General features: G+C 39.5%; 1 protein-coding gene and 1 long non-coding RNA gene across 7 annotated transcripts in view, besides 1 other annotated feature; one reads left to right on the top strand and one right to left on the bottom strand.

Moving 5' to 3' along the window:
- Positions 1-20,746, bottom strand: part of ARHGAP25 (Rho GTPase activating protein 25) — a 116,290-nt gene that overhangs the window by 63,502 nt on the left and 32,042 nt on the right. The window lies entirely within an intron of this gene.
- LOC105374790 (uncharacterized) lies at positions 662-9,845 on the top strand. The gene is made up of 3 exons (XR_940225.3): positions 662-726; positions 9,544-9,614; positions 9,757-9,845. It is a non-coding gene; the product is annotated as an uncharacterized LOC105374790 (long non-coding RNA).
- Positions 18,318-18,819: an enhancer, noted in NCBI's record as "NANOG hESC enhancer chr2:68971645-68972146 (GRCh37/hg19 assembly coordinates)". NCBI's record gives its function as "activates a minimal SCP1, AML or CMV promoter by ChIP-STARR-seq in naive H9 embryonic stem cells {active_cell/tissue: H9 hESC(naive)}" and the evidence as "EXISTENCE:reporter gene assay evidence [ECO:0000049][PMID:30033119]".

The following is a 20,746-nucleotide window of genomic DNA, read 5'->3' as shown; positions in this document are numbered from 1 at the left end:
AATCTTCAAAGAAACAGAAAATGACACAGCAGAATACTTCTGATACTTCTACTGTGTCATATAATTGAGAGCTGTGAAGTTTATGAAAATTTTCACTGCTGTGACACTTTGCAATTTTGTTAAAGATTTTTTAGAGTTTGATAAAGAAAGCATTCTAAAATTCATGAAAGATGATCAAATACAAAAAAGCCAACATCATTGTCTTGGTTACAGCTAGTGACTTGTGAAAAAGTATCGAGATTTTACTTTTTCATAAAATTTTATTATTTATCAGCATTTCTATCAACTTTGGGCTACACTTCATGATGCTTGAGTAAGGCTTTGCAGAATGCAGTATTTTCCCTGTGATTCAGCCACTGACATCTGGTAGTTCTGTTTCCTCTTCAAAGCTGTCAAACATTATCAGCTGCCTGAAAAATGTGTTAGGGGGTTTCCCTTTTATCACCCAAGGTCCTCACAAAAATGTCAGGACTTATTTTGTATGTATCTGTGAGCAACTGTAGTGTTTCTGTCTGACCTGGACTTTCTTGGCCCACACACTAGCCTCTGCTTGACATTTCTTTTTGGCTGGCCACTCCTTCACAGTTCTCATGGAAGAACTAGAAGAACACCATTTTTGTTTCTTTTTTCTTTTTCTGTTTGTTTTTAGCCAGTAGTCACTGAAGGACCAACTAAGCTTTTGTGCAAAGGCTGAAGAAGCAGGAACCAGAGATGCACAAACAGGAGGTAAAAGAAGGAGAACCATGAGGGGGTGACTCAACAGGCTAACACCGGGACCCCAGGATGCGGTCCTAATTCCAAATCCCTCTGGCTTAGCACATCTAATAGCATACGAGAGCTTTTGAAGATGAAAAATGAGTTGTAATATTTGACTTGGGCTATTTTTCTCAAATTATAACTTGCGTGATTTATTTTTTCCCAATTATTTTTATTCCAGTAAAACACACATAAAATTTACTATCTTATTTTTGATTGTACAGTTCAGTAGTATTAAGTACATTCACATTATTGCACAACCATCACCATCCATTTTCAGAACTCTTTTCATCTTGAAAAACTGAAATTCTGTACCCATTACAGAGTTAACTTCCTTTTCCTTCTTTCCCTAGCCCTGGTAACCACCATTCTACTTTCTGTCTCTATGAATTTGTCTCCTCTAAGCACCTCACATAAGTGGAATTATACAGCATTTGTCTTTTTTGAAGCAGCTTATTTCACTTAGCATAATGTCCTCAAGATTCATCGGTGCTATAGCATATTGCAGAATGTCCTTCCTTTTTAAGGCTGAATACATTCTATTGAATGTATATACCACATTTTGTTTGTCAGTTCATTTGTCAATGGACACCTGGGTTGCCTCCATGTTTTAGTTATTACAAATGATGCTGCTATGAACGTGATGTACAAATATCTCTTCAAGACTCTGTTTTCAATTCTTTGAGTATATATTTAGATGCGGAATTGTGGGATCAGATAGTAATTCTATTTTTAATTTTTTGTGGAACTGCTATACTGTTTTCCATAGTAGCTGTAACATTTAACATTTCCACCAACAGTGCAAAAGGGTTTCAATATCTCCACATCCTCACCAACATTTGTTATCTTCCAGTTTTTTAATAGCAGCCATCATAATGGGTGTGAGTTGCTATCTCGCTGTAGTTCGTGTTGCATTTCCCTAATGATTACTAATATTGATAGCATCATTTCATTTATTGTCCATTTGCATATCTTCTTTGGAGAAATGTCTATTTGAGTCCTTTGCCCATTTTTGAACTGAGTTGTTTGTGGGGTTTTTTTTTGTAGAGTTTAGGAGCTTTTTATACATTCTGGATATTAATCCCTTGTTAGATATATGATTTGCAAATATTTTCCCCTATTCTGTTGATTTTTTACTCTGTTGGTAGTATCTTTTGATACGTAATTTTTTAAATTTTCAGAAGTCTAATTTGACTATTTTTTCTTCTGTTACCTGTGCCTTTGATGTTGAAGCCAAGAAATCATTGCCAAATTCAGTGTTGTGAAGTTTTTGCCCCACGTCTTCTTCTAAGAGTTTTACAGTTTGGGGTCTTAAATTTAGTTCATAGGTCCATTTTGAGTTAATTTTTGTATATGGTATTAGGTAAGGGCCTAACTTTATTATTTTGCATGTGGATATCCAGTTTTCCTAGCATCATTTTTGAAAAGACAATCTTTTCCCCATTAAATTATCGTGGCACCCTTGTTGAAAATCATTTGACCATACACATATATGTGAGGTCATATATGTGTATGTGACCTCTACATCTATTCTATTCCAGACAATCTATTCTATTCCATTCATCTGTTTCTGTCTTTATGCCATTACTACACTGTTTTGGTTTACTCTAAATTTTGTAACTAATCATATAATTTTTGAATTATGTGATTCAAATAGGAAATGTGAGTTATCCAACAATGTTCTTTTTCAAAAATTTTTTTTTTTTTTTTTTGCTATTCAGGATCCCTTGAGTTTCCATATGAACTTTAGGATGAGTTTTTCTATTTCTACAAAAAGTCATTGGGATTTTGATAGGAATTGCATTAAATCTGTAGGTTGGTTTGGATAGTATTAAGTCTTCCAACCTAGGGAGCCTGGGATGTCTTCCCATTATTCTGTTCTTCTTTAATTTCTTTCAGAAATGTTTTGCAGTTTTGTAGTTTTGTAGTGCAAGTATTTCACCTTCTGGTGGTTAAGTTAATTCCTAATTAATTTATTCTTTTTGATGGTATTGTAAATGAAACTATTCTCTTAATTTTCTTTTCAGATTGATCACTGTTAGTGTATAGAAGTGCAACTGATTTTTGAGCTTTGACTTTGTATCCTGCTACTTTGCTGGGTTTATTAGTTCTAACAGCTTTTTGGTCGAATCCTTAGGATTTTCTGCATATAAGATTATATTATCTCTAAATAGAGATAAGTGTACTTTTTCTTTTCTAATGTGGATGCTTTTTATTTCTCTCCCTCACCTAGTTCCTCTGTCTAGGGCTTCAAGTATTACATTGCATCGAAGTTGCAAAAGTGGACATCCTTGCCTTGTTCTTGATCTCAGAGTAAAAGCTTGGAGTCTTTCAACGTTGAGTATGATGTTCACTGTGGGTTATTTACATATGACTTTTATTACATTGAGGTAGATTCCTTCTATTCCTGGTTTATTGAGTGTTTTTATCATGAAAGAATGTTGAATCTTGTCGAATACATGACTATCATTTGAGATGATCATATGTTTTTCCCCTTCATTCTGTTAATGAGATGTATTAATGAAATTGACTGATTCTTCTACGTTGAATCACCCTTGCATTTCAAGAATAAATCCCATTTGGTCTGGATTTATAATCTTTTATTGTGCAGTTGCGTCATTTTTCTGTTGTAGCATTTTGTTGAGGATTTTTGCATCAATGTAATAAGGGATATTGGTCTGCAGTTTTCTTGTAATGTTGTCTGGCTTTAATATCAAGGTAATGTAGAATGAGTTGGGAAGTTTCCCTTCTTTTTCAATTCTTTTGAAAATTTTCAAAGAGACTGGTATTAGTTCTTCTTTAGATATGTTGTTGTCTGGCTTTAATATCAAGGTAATGTAGAATGAGTTAGGAAGTTTCCCTTGTTTTTCAATTCTTTTGAGAAGTTTCAAAGCGACTGGTATTAGTTCTTCTTTAGACGTTTGGTAGAACACACTGGTGAGGACATCAGGTCTTTAATTCATTAGGAGATTTTTGATTATTGACTGAATTGCCTTGGTTAGAGGCATATTCAGATTTTATTCTTTTCTAAACTAAAACTATTCTTTTAGTTTAGGCTTGATAGGTTTTGTGTTTCTAAGAATTTTTCCATTGAATCTAGGTTATCAAATTTGTTGGTGTACAATTGCTTATAGTACTTTTATATTTCTTTTTATTTCTGTAGAATAGGTGGTAATACCCTCACTTTCATTTCTGAATTTAGTAATTTGAATCTTCTTTTTTTTTTCATTATCCATCTACCAAAAGGCTTGTAAATTTTGTCGACCTTTTTGAAGAGCTAAGTTTTTGTTTTGTTAACTTTCTCTCTTATTTTTATATTCTATATTTCATTTGTCTCTGTTCTGATCTTTATTATTTCCTTCCTTCTGCTAGCTCTGGGTTCAGTTTATCCTTTCTTTTTCTAGTTTCTTAAATTATAAAGTTCAGTTGTTGATTTGGGATCTTTCTTCCATCAATTTCCCTCTTACTCCTGCTTTCTCTGTTTTCCATAGTTTTGACATGTAGTGTTTTTGTTTTCATTCACCTCTAAGTATTTTCTAACCATCTTTGTGACTTCTTCCTTGATCTATTGTTTGTTTAATAGTGTATTGTTTAATTTCCACAATTTTCAGAATTTTCTACTATTCCTTCTTTTATTAATTTCTAATTTTATCCCATTGTGGCTGGAGAAGATACTTTGTACGATACCTACCTTTTAAAATCGATTGAGACTTAAATTGTGTCCTAATATATGGTCTATCCTAGAAAATATCCATGTGCACTTGACAAGAATGTGTATTTTGTTGTTGGATAGAGTGTTCTGTATATGTCTCTTAGATCTAGTTGGTTTATTGTGTTGTTCAAGTCCTCTATTTCTTCACTTATCTTCTGTCTGGTTGTTCTATTCATTATTGGAGTGGAGTATTGAAGTCTCCAACATTATTATAGAACTGCCTATTTCTCCCTTCAATTTTATCAATGCTTGCTTTATATATTTTTATGGTCTGTTATTTGATGTGTAAATGTTTATTATTGTTATATCTTCTCATTGTACTGAGCAATCTATTAATGTATAATGTTTTTCTTTGTTTCTTGTAGCATTTTTTAAATTTAAAGTTCATTTTCTTTGATATTAGTATAGTCACTCATTCTCTTTTGGTTACTATTTACATGAAATATCCTTCTCTATCTTCACTTTCAATCTATTTGTATCTTTGGGTCTAAAGTGAGTCTCTTGTAGACAGCGTATAGGTGGGCTGTTTTCTTATCCATTCTGCCAATCTTTGTCTTTTTAATGGTGAGCTTAGTCTAATTTACATTTAATGTAATTACTGGCAAGCAGCAACTTACTTCTGTAATTTGCTATTTATTTTCTACATACCTTACAGCTTTTTTGTCCTCCATTCCCTGCATTACTATCTTCTTTTGTGTTAGTTGATTTTTTTGTAGTGAAAGATTTAACTTTCTTCCTTCGTGTTTGTGTACGTCTATATTATTTAGCTACTTTCTTTTGGTTACAATTGGGATTACACTTACTATCCTAAAGTGATGATATTCTAATTTAAATTTATATGAACTTAACTTTAATAACATACAAATACTCTGCTCCTTTAACAGCTCTGCACCCCACCCCTTTAAGTTGCAGATGTCTCAGAATTACATCTTTATATACTAATAATTTTTCATGTCTCCACAATTGTGTAGAAAACAAAATGTGAAATTACAAACCAGACTGACAATAATGCTAGCTTCCAGACTAATAATTGTTTTTAAAATGATTGCCCCTTAAATCATGCAGAAAACAAAGGTGGAGTTACATACCATCATTATAGCAATTCTGACTTTTAAAATCATAGATGTATTTACCTTTGCTGAGATCTTTTTTTCTTCATATGGCATCAAGTTATTGTTTAGTGTCCTTTTATATCAACCTGCAGGAAGGACTCCCTTTAGCATTTACTGCAAAGACAAGTAAAAAACTCCTTCAGCTTCTGTTTATCTGAGAATGTCTTAATTTCTCCCTTGCTTTTGGAGAATATTTTTTCTGCGTATAAAATTTCTAGTTGACAGCTGAAAAAAATAGCACTTTAAATATATCAGACCACTACTTCTGGCCTTCAAAGTTTCTGACGATAAATTTGCCCATAATCTTATTGAAAATTCCTTGTATGAGACAAATCAGTTTTCCCTCACTGTTTTCAAAATTCTCTTTGACTTTGGATAGTTTGATTATAGTGTATCTCGATGTGGGTCTCTTTCAGTTCATCAGCTGTCATTGAACTTCTTGGATGTTTATATTCATGTCTTTCATCAAATTTGGGAAGTTTTCCATCATTATTTCTTCAAATATTCTCTCTGCACCCTTCTCTCTTTTCCTTTTAGGACTCCCACAATGAGTAAGCTGGTCCACTTAATGGTAACCCAGATGTCTCTTAGGCTCTGATCACTTTTCTTATATTTTTTTCTTTGTATTTCTCATACTTGATAATTTTCACTGTCTTATCTACAAGTTTGTTGATTCTTTCTTCTGCCTGCTCAAATCTGCCTTTGAATCCCTCTTTTAAAATTTTCATTTCAGTTATTGTACTTTTCAGCTCCCGCATTTCTTTTTAGTTTCTTTCTTATGTTTTCTATCTCTTTTTTGATATTTTCATTTAATGCATACACCATTTTCTTGACTTTCTCCAAATTTTCCTTCAGTTTTTTAAGCATCTTTAAGATTTTTTTAAAAGTCTTTGTCTAGTAGATGTGCCATCAGGTCTTCATCAGGCACTGTTTCTGTTGGTCTTTGTTTTCCCCTTTGAGTGGGCCATACGTTTTTGTTTCTTTTTATGCCTCATAATTTTTTGCTAACAACTGGATATCTGAATCTAATGATATGGTAACTCTGGAAATCAGATTGTCTCCCTTCCTCAAGGATTTGCTGGATTTTGTTTGTTTATTGTAATTGTTGTAGGTTGCCAAGGATCAGCCTGAACTGCACACTTAAGAGTCTTCTTAGGTCTTTTCTGAGGCTGCACCTTCCCCTGGGCAAGTTCAATGTCTTTCCAACTTACCCCATATATGTGGTTGCTTTTGAATGTCTTAGTCTTCAATGTCTGGCTCCCAAAAAGGGAAAAGGAGAAAAATGAAGGAGACACAGGAAAAGGCACAAGCTCTTTAAATCCCCTGGAAGTCACTTCAGCCAGAGGGGGAGGTGCTTACAACAATAGGGAGAGTTGCAAACACATGGTTGCCATTTCTTTGTCTGTACCTTTGTGTTCAGAGGCAGGCATCAGTGATCACAACATAGATCCCTGTTATTTGTAGGACAGGGTTCATTTTTTCCCATTCGGCCCCTGCACGTTGAGCACAAGCTGCTACTGGAATGTATGCACATCTGGAAAGCCTGCCACAGGGCTAGGGGTAGAGGATGTGCAGCCACTATTGTGTTAAGAGCTGAAACTCACTGAAATTAAGTACAACTCACTGTCCAAGCCTCCTTCTGGAAGTTGCCAATTTTGATTAGACACCAGGGTCCCAAAATAGATACATCAGACAGACTTGGAAAGAGTAATTGTTGTCTAGGTGGCGGGATAGATTCTGCCATGTACACATAATCCTCTATGAGCTATATTTTAAGGGTATAATTTCATTAAATTTAATGCATATACCAAATAGAGATTCATCAAACATAAAATAACATGTTTTATAATAAGCTTGTTTAGGATACATTTAGAAAAGAAATAGTAAATATCTTAACGTAAAATTGTAGAAACAAAAGAAAGGGATTTGCTCCGTGTGCTCAAGAACAAATCAAATTTTTCCTCTTTCAACTTTTTAACTCAACCATTACCCCCACTCCTCTTTCTTAGCATTTTCTTATTGTATCAACTGTGAAACAAGCCAACTTAAAATCAGACGCAAGAGCGGTAGGTAGAAGTTGTACTCAGACTCAAGAAAAAAGCATGCAAAAATTTCTGTTCCTTTTAATATATGGGAAGAGGTTTCAAAATGCAAATAGATAAATGTAGCTAATTAATTGACTTTAACATTAAATTCAGTTAATACATAGCATGTATTATGCTATACCTGGGATTGATGGATTGGCGGGCGGTGAGTTTTCAGAATGCCATTTTGAATTAACTTGTATAATTTTGAAAAAGAGAATCCAGTATGATATATATTTTTTTATTTTGGAGTGTTCTGCCATAAAAATAGCACTGGTCATTACAATCTTCCAGCACTTTTCTCTGAGTGATAAAAGATATTTTGGAAAATGTGGCTTTTATGATCTTTGGGAGGAGGCCTGGAAAAGGAGGGTTGAGAGTTCAGAGTAACACAGGAAATCTGTGTTTATAATGCTTAAGTGTGTGGGTGTGTTCATGTGGGCAGTGCTGGAGAGAAAAAATAAAAGAAAATGTTTGCAAACCATTGCAAGCAGGAGTTGAACAAAAGACTCAAAGAGTCTGTAATATTTATGAAATGTATTCAATATTTACAGAATATACTGGATTGAGGTTATCAAAAACAACTCTTGACACCAAAAGCACAATCCATAAAAGAAAAACATGATATTTGACTTCATCAAAATTAAAACTAAGAGAATGAAAAGCAAACACTAAGAGAGTGAAAAGCAAGCCACATGTTAGGAGAAAATATTTGCAGATCACATATCTGAAAAAGGACAAAACTCAACAATAAGAAAACAAGAAAATTTTTTAATGAGCAAAATTTTGATCTGAGACTTTACCAAATGAAATGAGGCCAAACAGCCTTAGTCATTAGGAAAATGTAAATTAAAATCAAGATGAGATACTACTACAAATATATTAGAATAACTAACATAAATTTTTAAAAAACTAACAATATCAAGGATCAGTGAGAATTAGAAACAGCCAGAATTTCTATACATGGCCAGTAGGAACATAAAATGATACAGCCCCTCTGGGAAACAATTTGGTAGCTTCTTATAAAGTTAAATATATACCTATCATATGATCCAGCAGTAGCACTCCTCAATATTTACCCAAAAGAGATAAAACGTTATGCTCACACAAACTTATAAGCAAATATTTACAACAGTTTATTCGTAATGTCTAAAAGTTAGAGACAATCCCAATATCTTTCAAGTGATGAATAGATACATTCATACAATAGAATACCACTCAACAATAAAAAGGACAAAACTATCTATACAAGTCATAACATGGGTGAATCTCAAATGCATTGTGCTGAATAAAAGCAACCAGGCTTCAAAAAACACACATTATCATTTCATTTATATGACATTTTGAAAAAAGCAAAAGCATAGGAACAGATAACAAATGAGTGGTTGTCCAAGGTTTGGGCTGGGTGAGAGGGGCTGACTAGAAATAGATGAGAGGAGAAAATTTTTTTACAGTGATGGAACTCTTGATTGTGGTGGTTGTTACGTGGCTGTATGTATTTAACAAAACCCACCTGATTGCAGTTCAAAATGGTCAGGAGATCGAGACCATCCAGGCTAACATGGTGAAACCCCGTCTCTACTAAAAATACAAAAAAATTAGCTGGGCATGGTGGCGGGCGCCTGTAGTCCCAGCTGCTTGGGAGGCTGAGGCAGGAGAATGGCGTGAACCTGGGAGGCAGAGCTTACAGTGAGCCGAGATTGGGCCACTGCTCTCCAGCCTGGGTGACAGAGCGAGACTCCATCTCAAAAAAAAAAAAAAAATACATCTTACCGAATGACCATTTAAAAACATTGTTTTCATTTGCTCACATTTATTGCACATTTGTTACACAGAGCTGACATTCTCACCTCCTCCTGACCTTCAAATGTTTCCACAGATAATGCAAGTTCTGAAGTTCTGAATGAAAAAAATTAAGTGATATTTACTATTCTACAGCGACTTGTTGAGGTAAGTAACCTGAAAAAACATGAGAACGTGGGAAAGACTACATTCAAGAGCAACATCAAGCTAAATCTACCCCAGTGATCCGGGAGTAACATTTCAGAGTGGACAGATAGCACCCCATCATTTAGCTTTGTTCTTTTCACAGGTGCTAAGGAAAGCCATGCGATGCCACGCCTGGCAACAAACCCACACTGCTTCAACTTCCTGTGAAGAAAGCCCTACCATGATCCCCACCCACATTATTTATTTTGATGACCCAAACAAATAAGAAAATGTAGCCAGGAGTGTTTCCTTCCATAATTCAAGTAGTACTGGGTTTTAATACAAAGGAAAGCAAGATGCTGGGCAAGTTGGTGTGGTTAAAGACCCTGCACAGGAGTTCTCTTGTGGAAAGTAGCAGAAAACCCACTAATGTTCAGGAGCTCTGGGATCTAGTCTTGATTCCGCCATACAGCAACTTGCTGTGTTACTATATGAGCATTTCAGATAATTTCTCTACGTCTTTATTTTCCCATTGTCTCAGTTAATATCTTGGTTGCAAGAAACAGGTACCAAATCAAGTTGGTTTAATCTAGATACAGATAAATAGAAGGATAGATAGCTAATAGTTCTCAACTGGGGGGTGGTTTTATCACCCCCCCCATCCACCCCAAGTGGACATTTTGCTATGTCTAGAGGTATTTTTGGTTGTCATAACTGGGAGGATTGATGCTGTCATCAACTGGGTAAAGTCCAGGGACTACCCTACAATGCATAGGATGGCCCCCAACAATAAAGAATTATCTGGATCAAAATAGTGATGAGATTGGGAATCCCTGATATCTCTCTCTCTTTCTCTCTCTCTCTCTTTGTATATATACTATGTATATAATATTTATGTGTGTGTAATTTTTAAAGCATAGTATATTATTTCACAAAATCTAGGGAAATTTGGGGGGTTGGAAATCATGGCTCAGGAAGAGTAGAAATCAAGCACATTTTGCAGGTTTTGAGTTCTCAACAGAGTTCAAAGGCCTTCCTCTTAGTGCCCTCTGATTTCCAGGACTCACTTACAAATGCCCATTCTCTGTGAACCTCAGACTGAGGAGAAATGAAATAGACACAGCTTGAGTCAGCTGTTCATTCTGCTCTAGTTGGCTATGTCCAAGGGGGAATGTTCAAGCCAAAGTTCAAGCCAGTGACCATCCTTGGAGACTGGGTCAGGAGCCCTTAGAAAGGTGGAGTTGGGAAAACAGCCCTAAGGAGGCCTATTACATTTATCTATGAGATAACAATAATGCCACTGCTCTTCTGGAGACCTACTATCAAATAAAAGGTTGTGGGCCCCAGGGGAACTTGGAAACAGAAATGGCAGGTGTCTCCTTTAAATGGCATTCATAATATTTCTCTTTTTTTTCTATCTTGAAGAACAGATTTCATTTTTTACACTTCTATAAAACAAATGGAACCATGACTTATGTTCCACAATTTCCATAGCTGATTTCATGAACTTTAACAAGTTTTCCTTATTTATAGCAGTCCCAAGCTTTATTCCCTTAGAGATGTCAGGACGTGGAGGGTAATTTTGCTGCCTGCCCTCTATGCTTTAAAGACCAAGTGAATTGAAAGAACAGTAAATCCCTGCCCCAACACAATAAGTGAGGTCCAGAAGAATTTTACGTGGGGTCTAAAATTCAATCAACTATTCGTGGTCGCGTTATTTTGAAGCTAATGAAATGGATGCCAGGAACCTGCACAGCTTGCCAGTTGGTAGCGCCAACGGAAGCCCATGCCAAACTTGGCTGAGTTTGCCGCCATCTAGTGGCCACTCCCAGCGTCAGTTTACACCTCGCAATGAACAGGAAGCAGGCCTGTGGCTGGCCAGGACCAGCCTTCAGCAGGCCATTCTAGGATTTTCCCGGTTAGCTGTCGCTCTTGGATTGGTCCAGACCAGGAAGACTAATTATTACAGGATTACTTAATGAGGAGATTTTCTGTACTTGGAAACATAAAGCAATGGTTTTAACCTTTGTGAGATTACAGGCCCCTTTGAGAATCTGCCTATATGCATATAATTTTTCACACAATTTCTAGAGGGTTTTGGGCTTACTGAAGCTAATCCATGGACACAAAGGGAAAGACACTGAATATAAACCTGATACAGATGTTAGCTGGGTGTAATTGTAAGCCATTCTGAAGTCGTTTGGAACAGAAAGGGAAAATGGCAATGGCAGGTGTGCGAATAGGAGGAAATCTACTGCTAACTGGAGGATAGTAAGAGTCTTAACTGTCCTCTAAAATGTGCCAAATGCCCGTGGCTCTTTAGTTGTATTTATACATGCTATGTATCTCCACCTTAGCTTTCCACCCTTAAAATTGGTTCCTTGTTTTACATGCCTGAGTTTTTCCTGGCCCTTCCTATTCTCCTCTGGTTTCTATCCAAAGTCTCTAGTGGACCAACAATAGGTTTGGGTTGGGAGTCAGAATACTGCCTGGGATTAGGCCAGCACCCCCCATTGGCTGGGTGAGTGAGCAAGTCCTGCACCCTCCCTGGGCTCAGCGTGAGGATGAGCATCCTTTAACCCCTCTTAGGATGGAATGAGACACTGTGTACAAGTGAAAGACATTGAAAGAGTCAGAAATGGTAGACAATTTTTGGAGTCTGCAATGTTATTCCAAAAACAAGTCCTTCTAGGATACTCCACAGGTAATTCGTGCTTAAAGCGGGTGAAATAAATGTCAGCTGGACTTGCTGGGAGAGAAAGGATGTATTGTCCTATTTTCCAGGGGTCTGTTGACAAGTGGCATTAATAACTATTATTAGTGCCTCCTCCTCACTACTCACATTATAAGCAAAAAGCTTTCACCTTTGGTTTCAGTAACCCCTTAACACGTCACTTCTGACACTAATTCCCTGTGTGAGCAGGATCTGGGGCCGGCCCGGCCTCCACCCTCTTCTGTGCAGCCCTGACATCTGCAGAATCACAGACAGTCCGGTCTGCAGGGAACCTCAGAGAAGAAGGAATGCCTTTAACTAATTCAGGGCACTCAAACCACAACACACACACACAGACGCCTCTCACAGTGGAGGTACACATTTTCCAAAAATTAAAAAGTGCTCGGCCCGGTGCGGTGGCTCGTGCCTGCAATCCCAGCACTTTGGGAGGCCGAGGCGGGAGGATCACCTGAGGTCAGGAGTTTGAGAGCAGCCTGGCCGACATAGCAAAACCCAGTCTCTACTAAAAATACAAATACGCCGAGCATGGTGACAGGTGCCTGTAGTCCCAGCTACTTGGGAGGCTGAAGCAGGAGAATCGCTTGAACTAGGGAGGCAGAGGTTGCAGTGAGCCAAGATCATGTCATTGCACTCCAGCCTGGGTGACAAGAATAAAACTCTATCTCAAAAAAAAAAAAAAAAAGTGGCTTCATGGGGCTGGGCGCAGTGGCTCATGTCTGTCATCCCACCACTTGGGGAGGCCAAGGTGGGAGAATCACTTGGGGCCAGGAGTCCAAGACCAGCTGGGCAATAGAGCAAGACCTCATCTCTACAAAAAGAAAAAAAAAAAAATCAGCCGGGCATGGCGGTGCACGCCTGTGGTCCCAGCTACTTGGGAGGCTGGGGTGGGAGGATTGTTTGAGCCCAGGATGTTGAGGCTGCAGTGAGCTGTGATCACACAGCTGTACTCCAGACTGGGCGACAGAGCAAGACCCTGTCTCTTTAAAAAATAAAATTTAAAAAAGGGCCAGGTTACTCAAAGCTGTACTCTGGAATATTAAATAATGTTTTAATGTATATTTTTAGAGAAGAAAATTTTGCAAAACTCAAAACCACTATGATAAAGTAACAAAATTGCAAACATTTTGGGAATGTGTTGCCATTGTGCTGTGGCTCTGGGTCTTAGCAACACTTATGGCACAGATCACAAACTTTGCTGCATATCCAGTCACTTGGGAGCTTAGAAAAGTTCGAATACCTAGACCACAGCCCTTGTTACTTAAATCCATGTCTCTGGAGTGGAACCTGAGCAGGTGAATTTTTTTAAACCTCCCCAGGACAGCCACGTTTGGTAACCACTAACTTAGTGCAGGAGTTGAGAATGTTCAGCTCAAGCACTGAGGCTGCCTTTGCATGATTCCCTTTAGCCTCAGGGTGACTGCTCTGATCGACAAAGCTATCGACACTCGCAAGCACTGGGGTGCTCACAGAGAATAAATTAAAGGCCATGAAAACTGCAAGACGGGAAATGGTTAAGAGGCTTACAGTGGAATCTAGGCTTGAAAGGGAGGTAAGAGAAGTGGATGAATGTGAGATCTAGGTAGGAGGTGGACAGGACTGACGGTGCAGTCAGTTGGGGAAGGAGGAGGTCATGAGGCCAAGGGATGGCTCAAAGATGACCTAGTTCCTGTGATACAAGGTGGCAGAATGTCAGTCAGTTACATAATTTGCAGAGCCCAGTGCAAAATGAAAATGTAGAGCCCCTTGTTCAAAAATCATTAAGAATTTTAGGATGGTCACAACAAAATAACAAATTCAGTGTGGAACCCTTCTAAGCATAGGGCCCAATGTAATTGGTCCTCTCTTCCACCCACATCCATCCTCCACTTGTTCTTCCTCCTTCTTCCTTCCATCTGCCTCTCCCTCACCCCTGTATGCTGGTATCTCTCTCCCTCTCTCTCTAAGCTTCTCTGTCTTTCTTTCTTCCTCTCCCTTGCCCATCCTCGCCTCTAATCACAGTTACCCACTAAACCTAACTGCCCATACTACAAAACTGAGGTTTAATTCTCATGTTTGGATTCCTGAGCAGAGCTACTTTTCCCAGGGCCCCTGAGTCTGAAGGATTTCTCTGCCCACACTTGAGTTTCAATCATCAAGAAGACTTTGATTATAGGAGCAAGACATACCCCTTGTAGCTCTGTTCAGTAGTCTAAGCCTTAATGACTTAAGACCTGACCGCCCTCAGGGATAGCTAAATGCTCAGTCACCCACATGCTGTTCCAAATTAGCTTCAGAAACCAAAAGCCCCACTTCCCTCTCCATAAGAAAGTCAGAAATATCTCTCTCTGGACCAAACTGTTGTTCAATCACTAATAAGGACAGGAAAAAAAAATGCTTTGGACTCATTTTAACTTACTTAATTTCACTGGGCTGCAGAAAAGTTAACAGGCCACAGGCTATTCCACAAAAATCTCTTTGATACCTGTAATGTGACAGAAACTGTTCTTGGCAGTGACTATCTAAAAGTGCATGAAACAGGCAAAGCCCTGCCTTCAGAAGCTTATGATCTAGTGCAAACATGCAAAGGAATGAGATCGTTTCAGGCACAAATAACAGTATAAAGAAAAAATGTAAGATAATGGGATAAAGAGAGATTGGATTTGCAGGGGCTAATTACAGCTAATTATATGCTAGGGTCAGGAAAGACCTCTTTGAAGAGATAATATTTGAACTAAAACTGGATGGAGTGGAGGAAAGGCCATGGTAAGATCTGGGAAGCACATTTCAGGGAGAACAGCAGACAGGCCTTGAGATGGTGGCTATGAGCACTGGATGTTCAGAAAACTGTTAATAGAAGGAGGGTGTGGCTGGGACACAGTGTGGGAGGAGCAGAGGACTACAGGTGGGTGGAGACAGAGGGGAAGGGGCCTGATCCCACGGGCATAGATCATGAGTTTGAATTTAATCCTAAGTATACTGAAAATTTTAATGAGGAACTGACACATTTGATTTCCACTTTTAAAAGATGTCGAGTCTGGCCACTGTGCAGAAAATACATGGTCCAGGACAAGAGTGGAGGCAGGAAGCCAAGTCAGCTAACTATTTCCTAGACTAGGCAAGAAATGGCAGTGTTTACAGCATTGGAGATAACGGAAATAGTCAGATTAAGGACATAAATTGGTGGTGAATCCAAAAGTCTTTTCTGGTGGATTAGATCTGGAGTGGAAGGGGAAAACATGAATGAAGATGACTCTAGGTTTTTAGCCTGAGCAACTCGGTGAATAGTAGAGCCTTTTGCAAAGGGCAGGTGAACTGGGTGTGGAGGGGTGGGAAGAGGGATGATTCAGAATTCTGTGTTGGACACACTGGGGGAGGGAAGCCCGTGAGATATTCAGGTGGAGATGTGGGGCCATCCAGAACCCAGAAGAGACGTTGGAGCTAATGTATGAAAGTTAAGGTAGGACTTAAAGCCATGGAAAGGGCTTTAAAGGTTTTAAGGTTGGATAAACGGAAGAGGACGGGGGACTGAGCCCTGGGACCGGAGCCAGCTTCACAGAAAACCTGTACACTCATACAGCACTCCATGCTTAGATGGTCCCTGCACTTGGTGTAATGCTTTGCTGTCACTATGTTGAAATTCTTAATAATTTTTGATCAAGGGACCCCACATTTTCATTTTGTACTAGGCTCCACGAATGATGTGGCCAGTCCTGCTTGGGACACTTCATTGTTAAGAGATCTGGTAGAGAAGGAGACTTCATGAAAGCAGACTCAGGAAGAGTAACTAATGAGGTAAGGGAAAGCCAGGGGGCACAGTGTCAAGGAAGTCTAAAAAATTTTTTTTCAAGGAGAAAATGCCTGATTGTGTCAAATGCTGCAGGACAGTTGAGTAAGACGAGGACAGATGCTTAATTGGGCTGACTGATGAGTGAGAAGGAATCAGTCTATCACTTATATTTGAAAGCCTGTGTCAAGAAGATACATGGGGACACCTGTCTTTTTTTTTTTTTTTTTTTTGAGATGGAGTTTCGCTCTTGTTGCCTGGGCTGGAGTACAGTGGCCCAATCTCGGCTCACCACAACCTCTGCCTCCCGGGTTCAAGCGATTCTCCTGCCTCAGCCTCCCGAGTAGGTGGGATTACAGGCGTGCGTCACTACACCCAGCTAATTTTTTGTATTTTTAGTAGAGATGGGGTTTCTCCATGTTGGTCAGTCTGGTCTCGAACGCCCAACCTCAGGTGATCCTCCTGCCTCGGCCTCCCAAAGTACTGGGATTACAAGCGTGAGCCACCGCGCCCGGCCCTGTGGGGATGGGGAGGGGGGTGGTCCCTGTCTTTAAACCCATGCCCATGCCCCTTCTCCCTCCATCTCCATTTCCATTTTTCACAGTCAGGGGCCTTACACACATGAATGTGGACACCCCAGCCCAGACATCCGAACTTTGTTCTGGGCCTCTCTGCAATCAACCGTCTGCAGAAAAACCACTGGGAGGACCTAGAAAACATTCTTGCAGCTCCTGGCCATCTGCGTAGGGAATTTCACAATCTCAGATGGTCTAGAAGGCAGGCAGGGCACAGGGTCTAGGTGGGCATGTCCGCTTGACCAGACTCCTTGCCCTGTGAGGAGGAAGGAGTACAGATGGAGCAAGAAAAGAGCAGGACCCTCTAAAATACATGTTTCCAATGGAGGCCCCTGTTGTCCAGGCCTATGGGCAGCAATGGAGATAAAGATGTGGGTAGACGAAAACTTTTGGTGGTAGGAAAATTGAGTAATTCTCACTTAGTTGTACATATTTTTCTCTATGAATGTTATCAGTGAGAGTGACGGCAGAAGGAAGTGTTAAGACCTTGAGGAGAAAATTAAAAAGTAGGCATAAAAGCTTTGGGGAAAATGAAAGTGAATTTACTAGCTATGTGCTATAGTTTAAATGATGGTGCCCCCTCCAAAATTCATGTTGAAACTTCATCTCCAATGCAACAGTATTAAGAGGTATGGCCCTTGGGAGGTGATTAGGTCATGACAGCTCTGCTCTGATGGATGGTATTAAGATCCTCGTAAAAGGGCTTGAAGGAGTGGGTTCACCCTCTTCTGCTCTTCCATAATGTGAGGTCACGGCACTCCTCCCTTTTGCCCTCCCATCCCTTTCTGCCGTGTGAGACCACCAAGTCAGCATCATCTACAAAGAATGAGCCTTCACCAGACATGGATCTTGAAAGCACCTTGATCTTGGACTTGCCAGCCTCCAGAACTGTAATAAATAAATGTCTGTTCTGTATAAATTATCCAGTCTCAGCTATTTAGTTACAGCAGCACTAGTGGACTCTTAAGACAGTAGACGTAGTAAGTTTGTCTGGCTCTGTTGAGTGCCCACCTCAAATGACTGGTCACAAACTCAAAGTGAATCCAGGCAGCTCAGGGGTGATCTTCTCCAGCGATGTTCAGCTGTCCAGTTACAGGCACTAAGAAGGTGGATTATTAGGTTTAAATAGGGTTAGGGGTTATGATGAGGAAAAATGGCCAGAGAATTTAAGGGTGCATATTCAGTAGTAGATTTAATGCTAGTTATGAATCTATGGTAAGGAGGACCTAATGGGGTGACTGATAGTGAAAAAATGGTGGGACCAATGGAATGGTGGCTCACTGAGGTAATGTCAGAGAATTGCTGGAGTGGGTGAGCTGGGCACATAGGATGTGGTGGGCACAGAGTGGGAAGTCTGAAAGTGAGATTTCAGAGGTGGTACAATTGTAGGAGGTGACATGGTTTATTTATGACTATGAGTGGCTGAGCTGGTTGGAGGAAGTATTACCTAACAGCTCTGCAAAGGAGGTGGAACTACCGGCCCCATTTTTCAGATGAGAAAACTGAGACACAGAGACATTAAAGTGACTTGCCCAAAGTCAAAGAAGTGAGAAAAGGTTGAGCTGGAAATCAAACCCAGGCTCATCTGCCTTTAGGGGCCTCATTCTCAAAGACTGCCTACTACATTCAGGTATGTCTTCGTAGTTAAGTCAAGTGTCCTTTTTTGTTTTTCTTTCAGGAAGTGATTTTTATCTGGAATCTTATTTTTTATCTGTGAAGACACAAAGTTGACTACATTATCAATCACTTTCATTACCATGCTGGGCATTTCAGGCCACAGAAGAATGAGATTGGGATAATTTTGTGCTGGCCAGAAAACTGGTTAAATCCAGGGTTTTCTGGGGAGAAATAATGAAAATAGACCACATTTATTGGTGGAAATGCAACTGCATTGTCCGCGGGCACTCTCTACTGGCTCTAAATCAGAATAACAATGTGGCATTAGAAGCTTGATTTGTGGCTTTTTGGAAGGAGCATATAGACTTGAATGAACATGTAAAAACTTGCCCCTTGTAGATATCTAGGGGCTATGGCTCAAGTGGGGCAAGAAAAGCTTTTGTTACAGAACAAACCCTGTGTCAGCTTTTTAAATGTCACAGTCACAGTCACACTGCATATGTCTAATTCCCTTTAGTGGGAGAGCCCTGCTTCCTCAGAGTGTCTCTAATGAGACTGTCAGAATCTTAATCTTTTTCATCTTCTTAATTCTGAGCCTAGTAAAGTGTCCAGCACATAGTAGGTGTCCAATAAATATGTGTCAATCAGAATAGAAGAAAAATGAGCAAAACGGTACAATCTCGCAGAAGGGAGAGGGACTAATTGTACCTGGGTAATTCAGGAAGCCTTCCCAGGACAAGCTGGGTGGTGGCCCTGGTAATGGGGAGGGAGAGATAGAGTTGGAAAAAATATATATATATCCAGAAAGCAGAATAGCAAACTTACGGGCCAGATATAGGACCCACAAGGGTAGGAATTTTTGTGTGATTTTAGAAAGAAGTACCTTGCAATACACTGACAGATGTGGCTCCCGATCTTTCTGGAGAAAATGTGAGCAAGACTAAAAGATTTCATAAAAACAGATGGAGGAAGCTAGCATGACAGTTTCAAGGAGGCTGAAAAATGAATTTGGAAGGATTTCTAACCATGAGTACTAAAAAGAAAGAATAATGACTCCAGGTTTAAAGATATTTTCTCCTAAATCAATTTTTGCCATAAATTGTGTGGCTTCTCAGGAAATTCAATTCAAGAAACATACAAAGCACCTAACACAATTACAGCTTTGTTTCCCTGGGCCTAGCGACCTGATTCTAGGGTTACTTTCCTGGTTTTCACACTGAGTTCCATGTCCCACGAGCCCCCTGAGTCCCAGACAAATCAGGCCAGCTGTCACTCTACCTGGGAAAGAGAATGAGGAACGCTCACAGGAAGAAGATCAGTGCCAAAATCAAGATCAAACAGATTGGTCTCAGGACAGAGCACAAGGGCTGGGCTGAGAATGGACTGGAGGTGACAACTCTACATCTGCTATCATTTTTACTCTGAGATGTCTGCATAAGGAGATTCCTCACTCACTAATAAAGTGGATTTCTGGCTTCTGAATGACCAGGTGCATGGAATCAAATGCAGAATGACAGTCAAAGAGGAAGAATGCATGCACAAGAATCTTTGGGTAGCAACAGCAGAATTGAGGACAAGAAAGGCGGGAGCCTCATTTTGAAGGTCCTGCTCTTCCCCCACAATTATATCTACAAATAATGATCTGAAAGAGAATGGTAGGCCAGGTACAGGACTCTTAGAGCTAATAGGAAAAACTGCTCTGCCATTGCTGTAACCCACATGTAAGTGATCACAAGCAGTTAAACACTGAGCCCCTGAAGCCCACACTAACAACTTCCAACCTCACTTCAGTGGCCAGAGGTACGCATGACAGTAGGAGATGGTGGGCAGCTCTGGAGGAGGAAGCACTAAGTCATGGAGGAGGGTCTTCCACACAGCAAACAACCCAGAGTCACTCTTTGCCTACCCAAAGCAAGGAAAGTTTGAGGAACTGCTCCTGTCATAGCACAGAGACAATGACATTTCTACAGCAGGAATTCTGCAGGAAACTTACCAGAAGCTATCATTATCCTTATTAGAAAGTCACAACTCAGGCATTTTACTTATTTGGAAAATAACTGGCAAAAATAGACAAACAAAACAAAGCAAAAAGGAAGAAAACAAGAATAGCCATGCAGACAAAATTGACACAATTCATGCAAATTGAGAAGGAAGTGAGTACATGGCATTTGGAAGCATAAAGAGTAAGAAGCAGAACATAACCAGTCAACTGCAGATCAGCATGTGTGCTGTGAGCCAGGAGCAGACACTGGGCAGGAAAGGAGATATCTGCAGATGTTGTAAAGACCATATGTCTAAAGAAAAGAATGAAGAACTAAACCTAATCAAGACAAACAAAACCTTGGCACTGCTGGCTGTGGTTTTCACCAATGACTTGATTCAAAGGAGCTGATATCAGATCTCCATTATAGCTAATGTCCATAACAATAATGATAATTACTAGTGTTTATGAAGCACTTACTAG

This window comes from Homo sapiens, chromosome 2 (assembly GCF_000001405.40).
Source record: "Homo sapiens chromosome 2, GRCh38.p14 Primary Assembly".
Lineage (NCBI taxonomy): Eukaryota > Metazoa > Chordata > Mammalia > Primates > Hominidae > Homo > Homo sapiens.
Note: the sequence above shows the minus strand (reverse complement) of the source record. Positions and strands in the feature narration are given on the sequence as shown.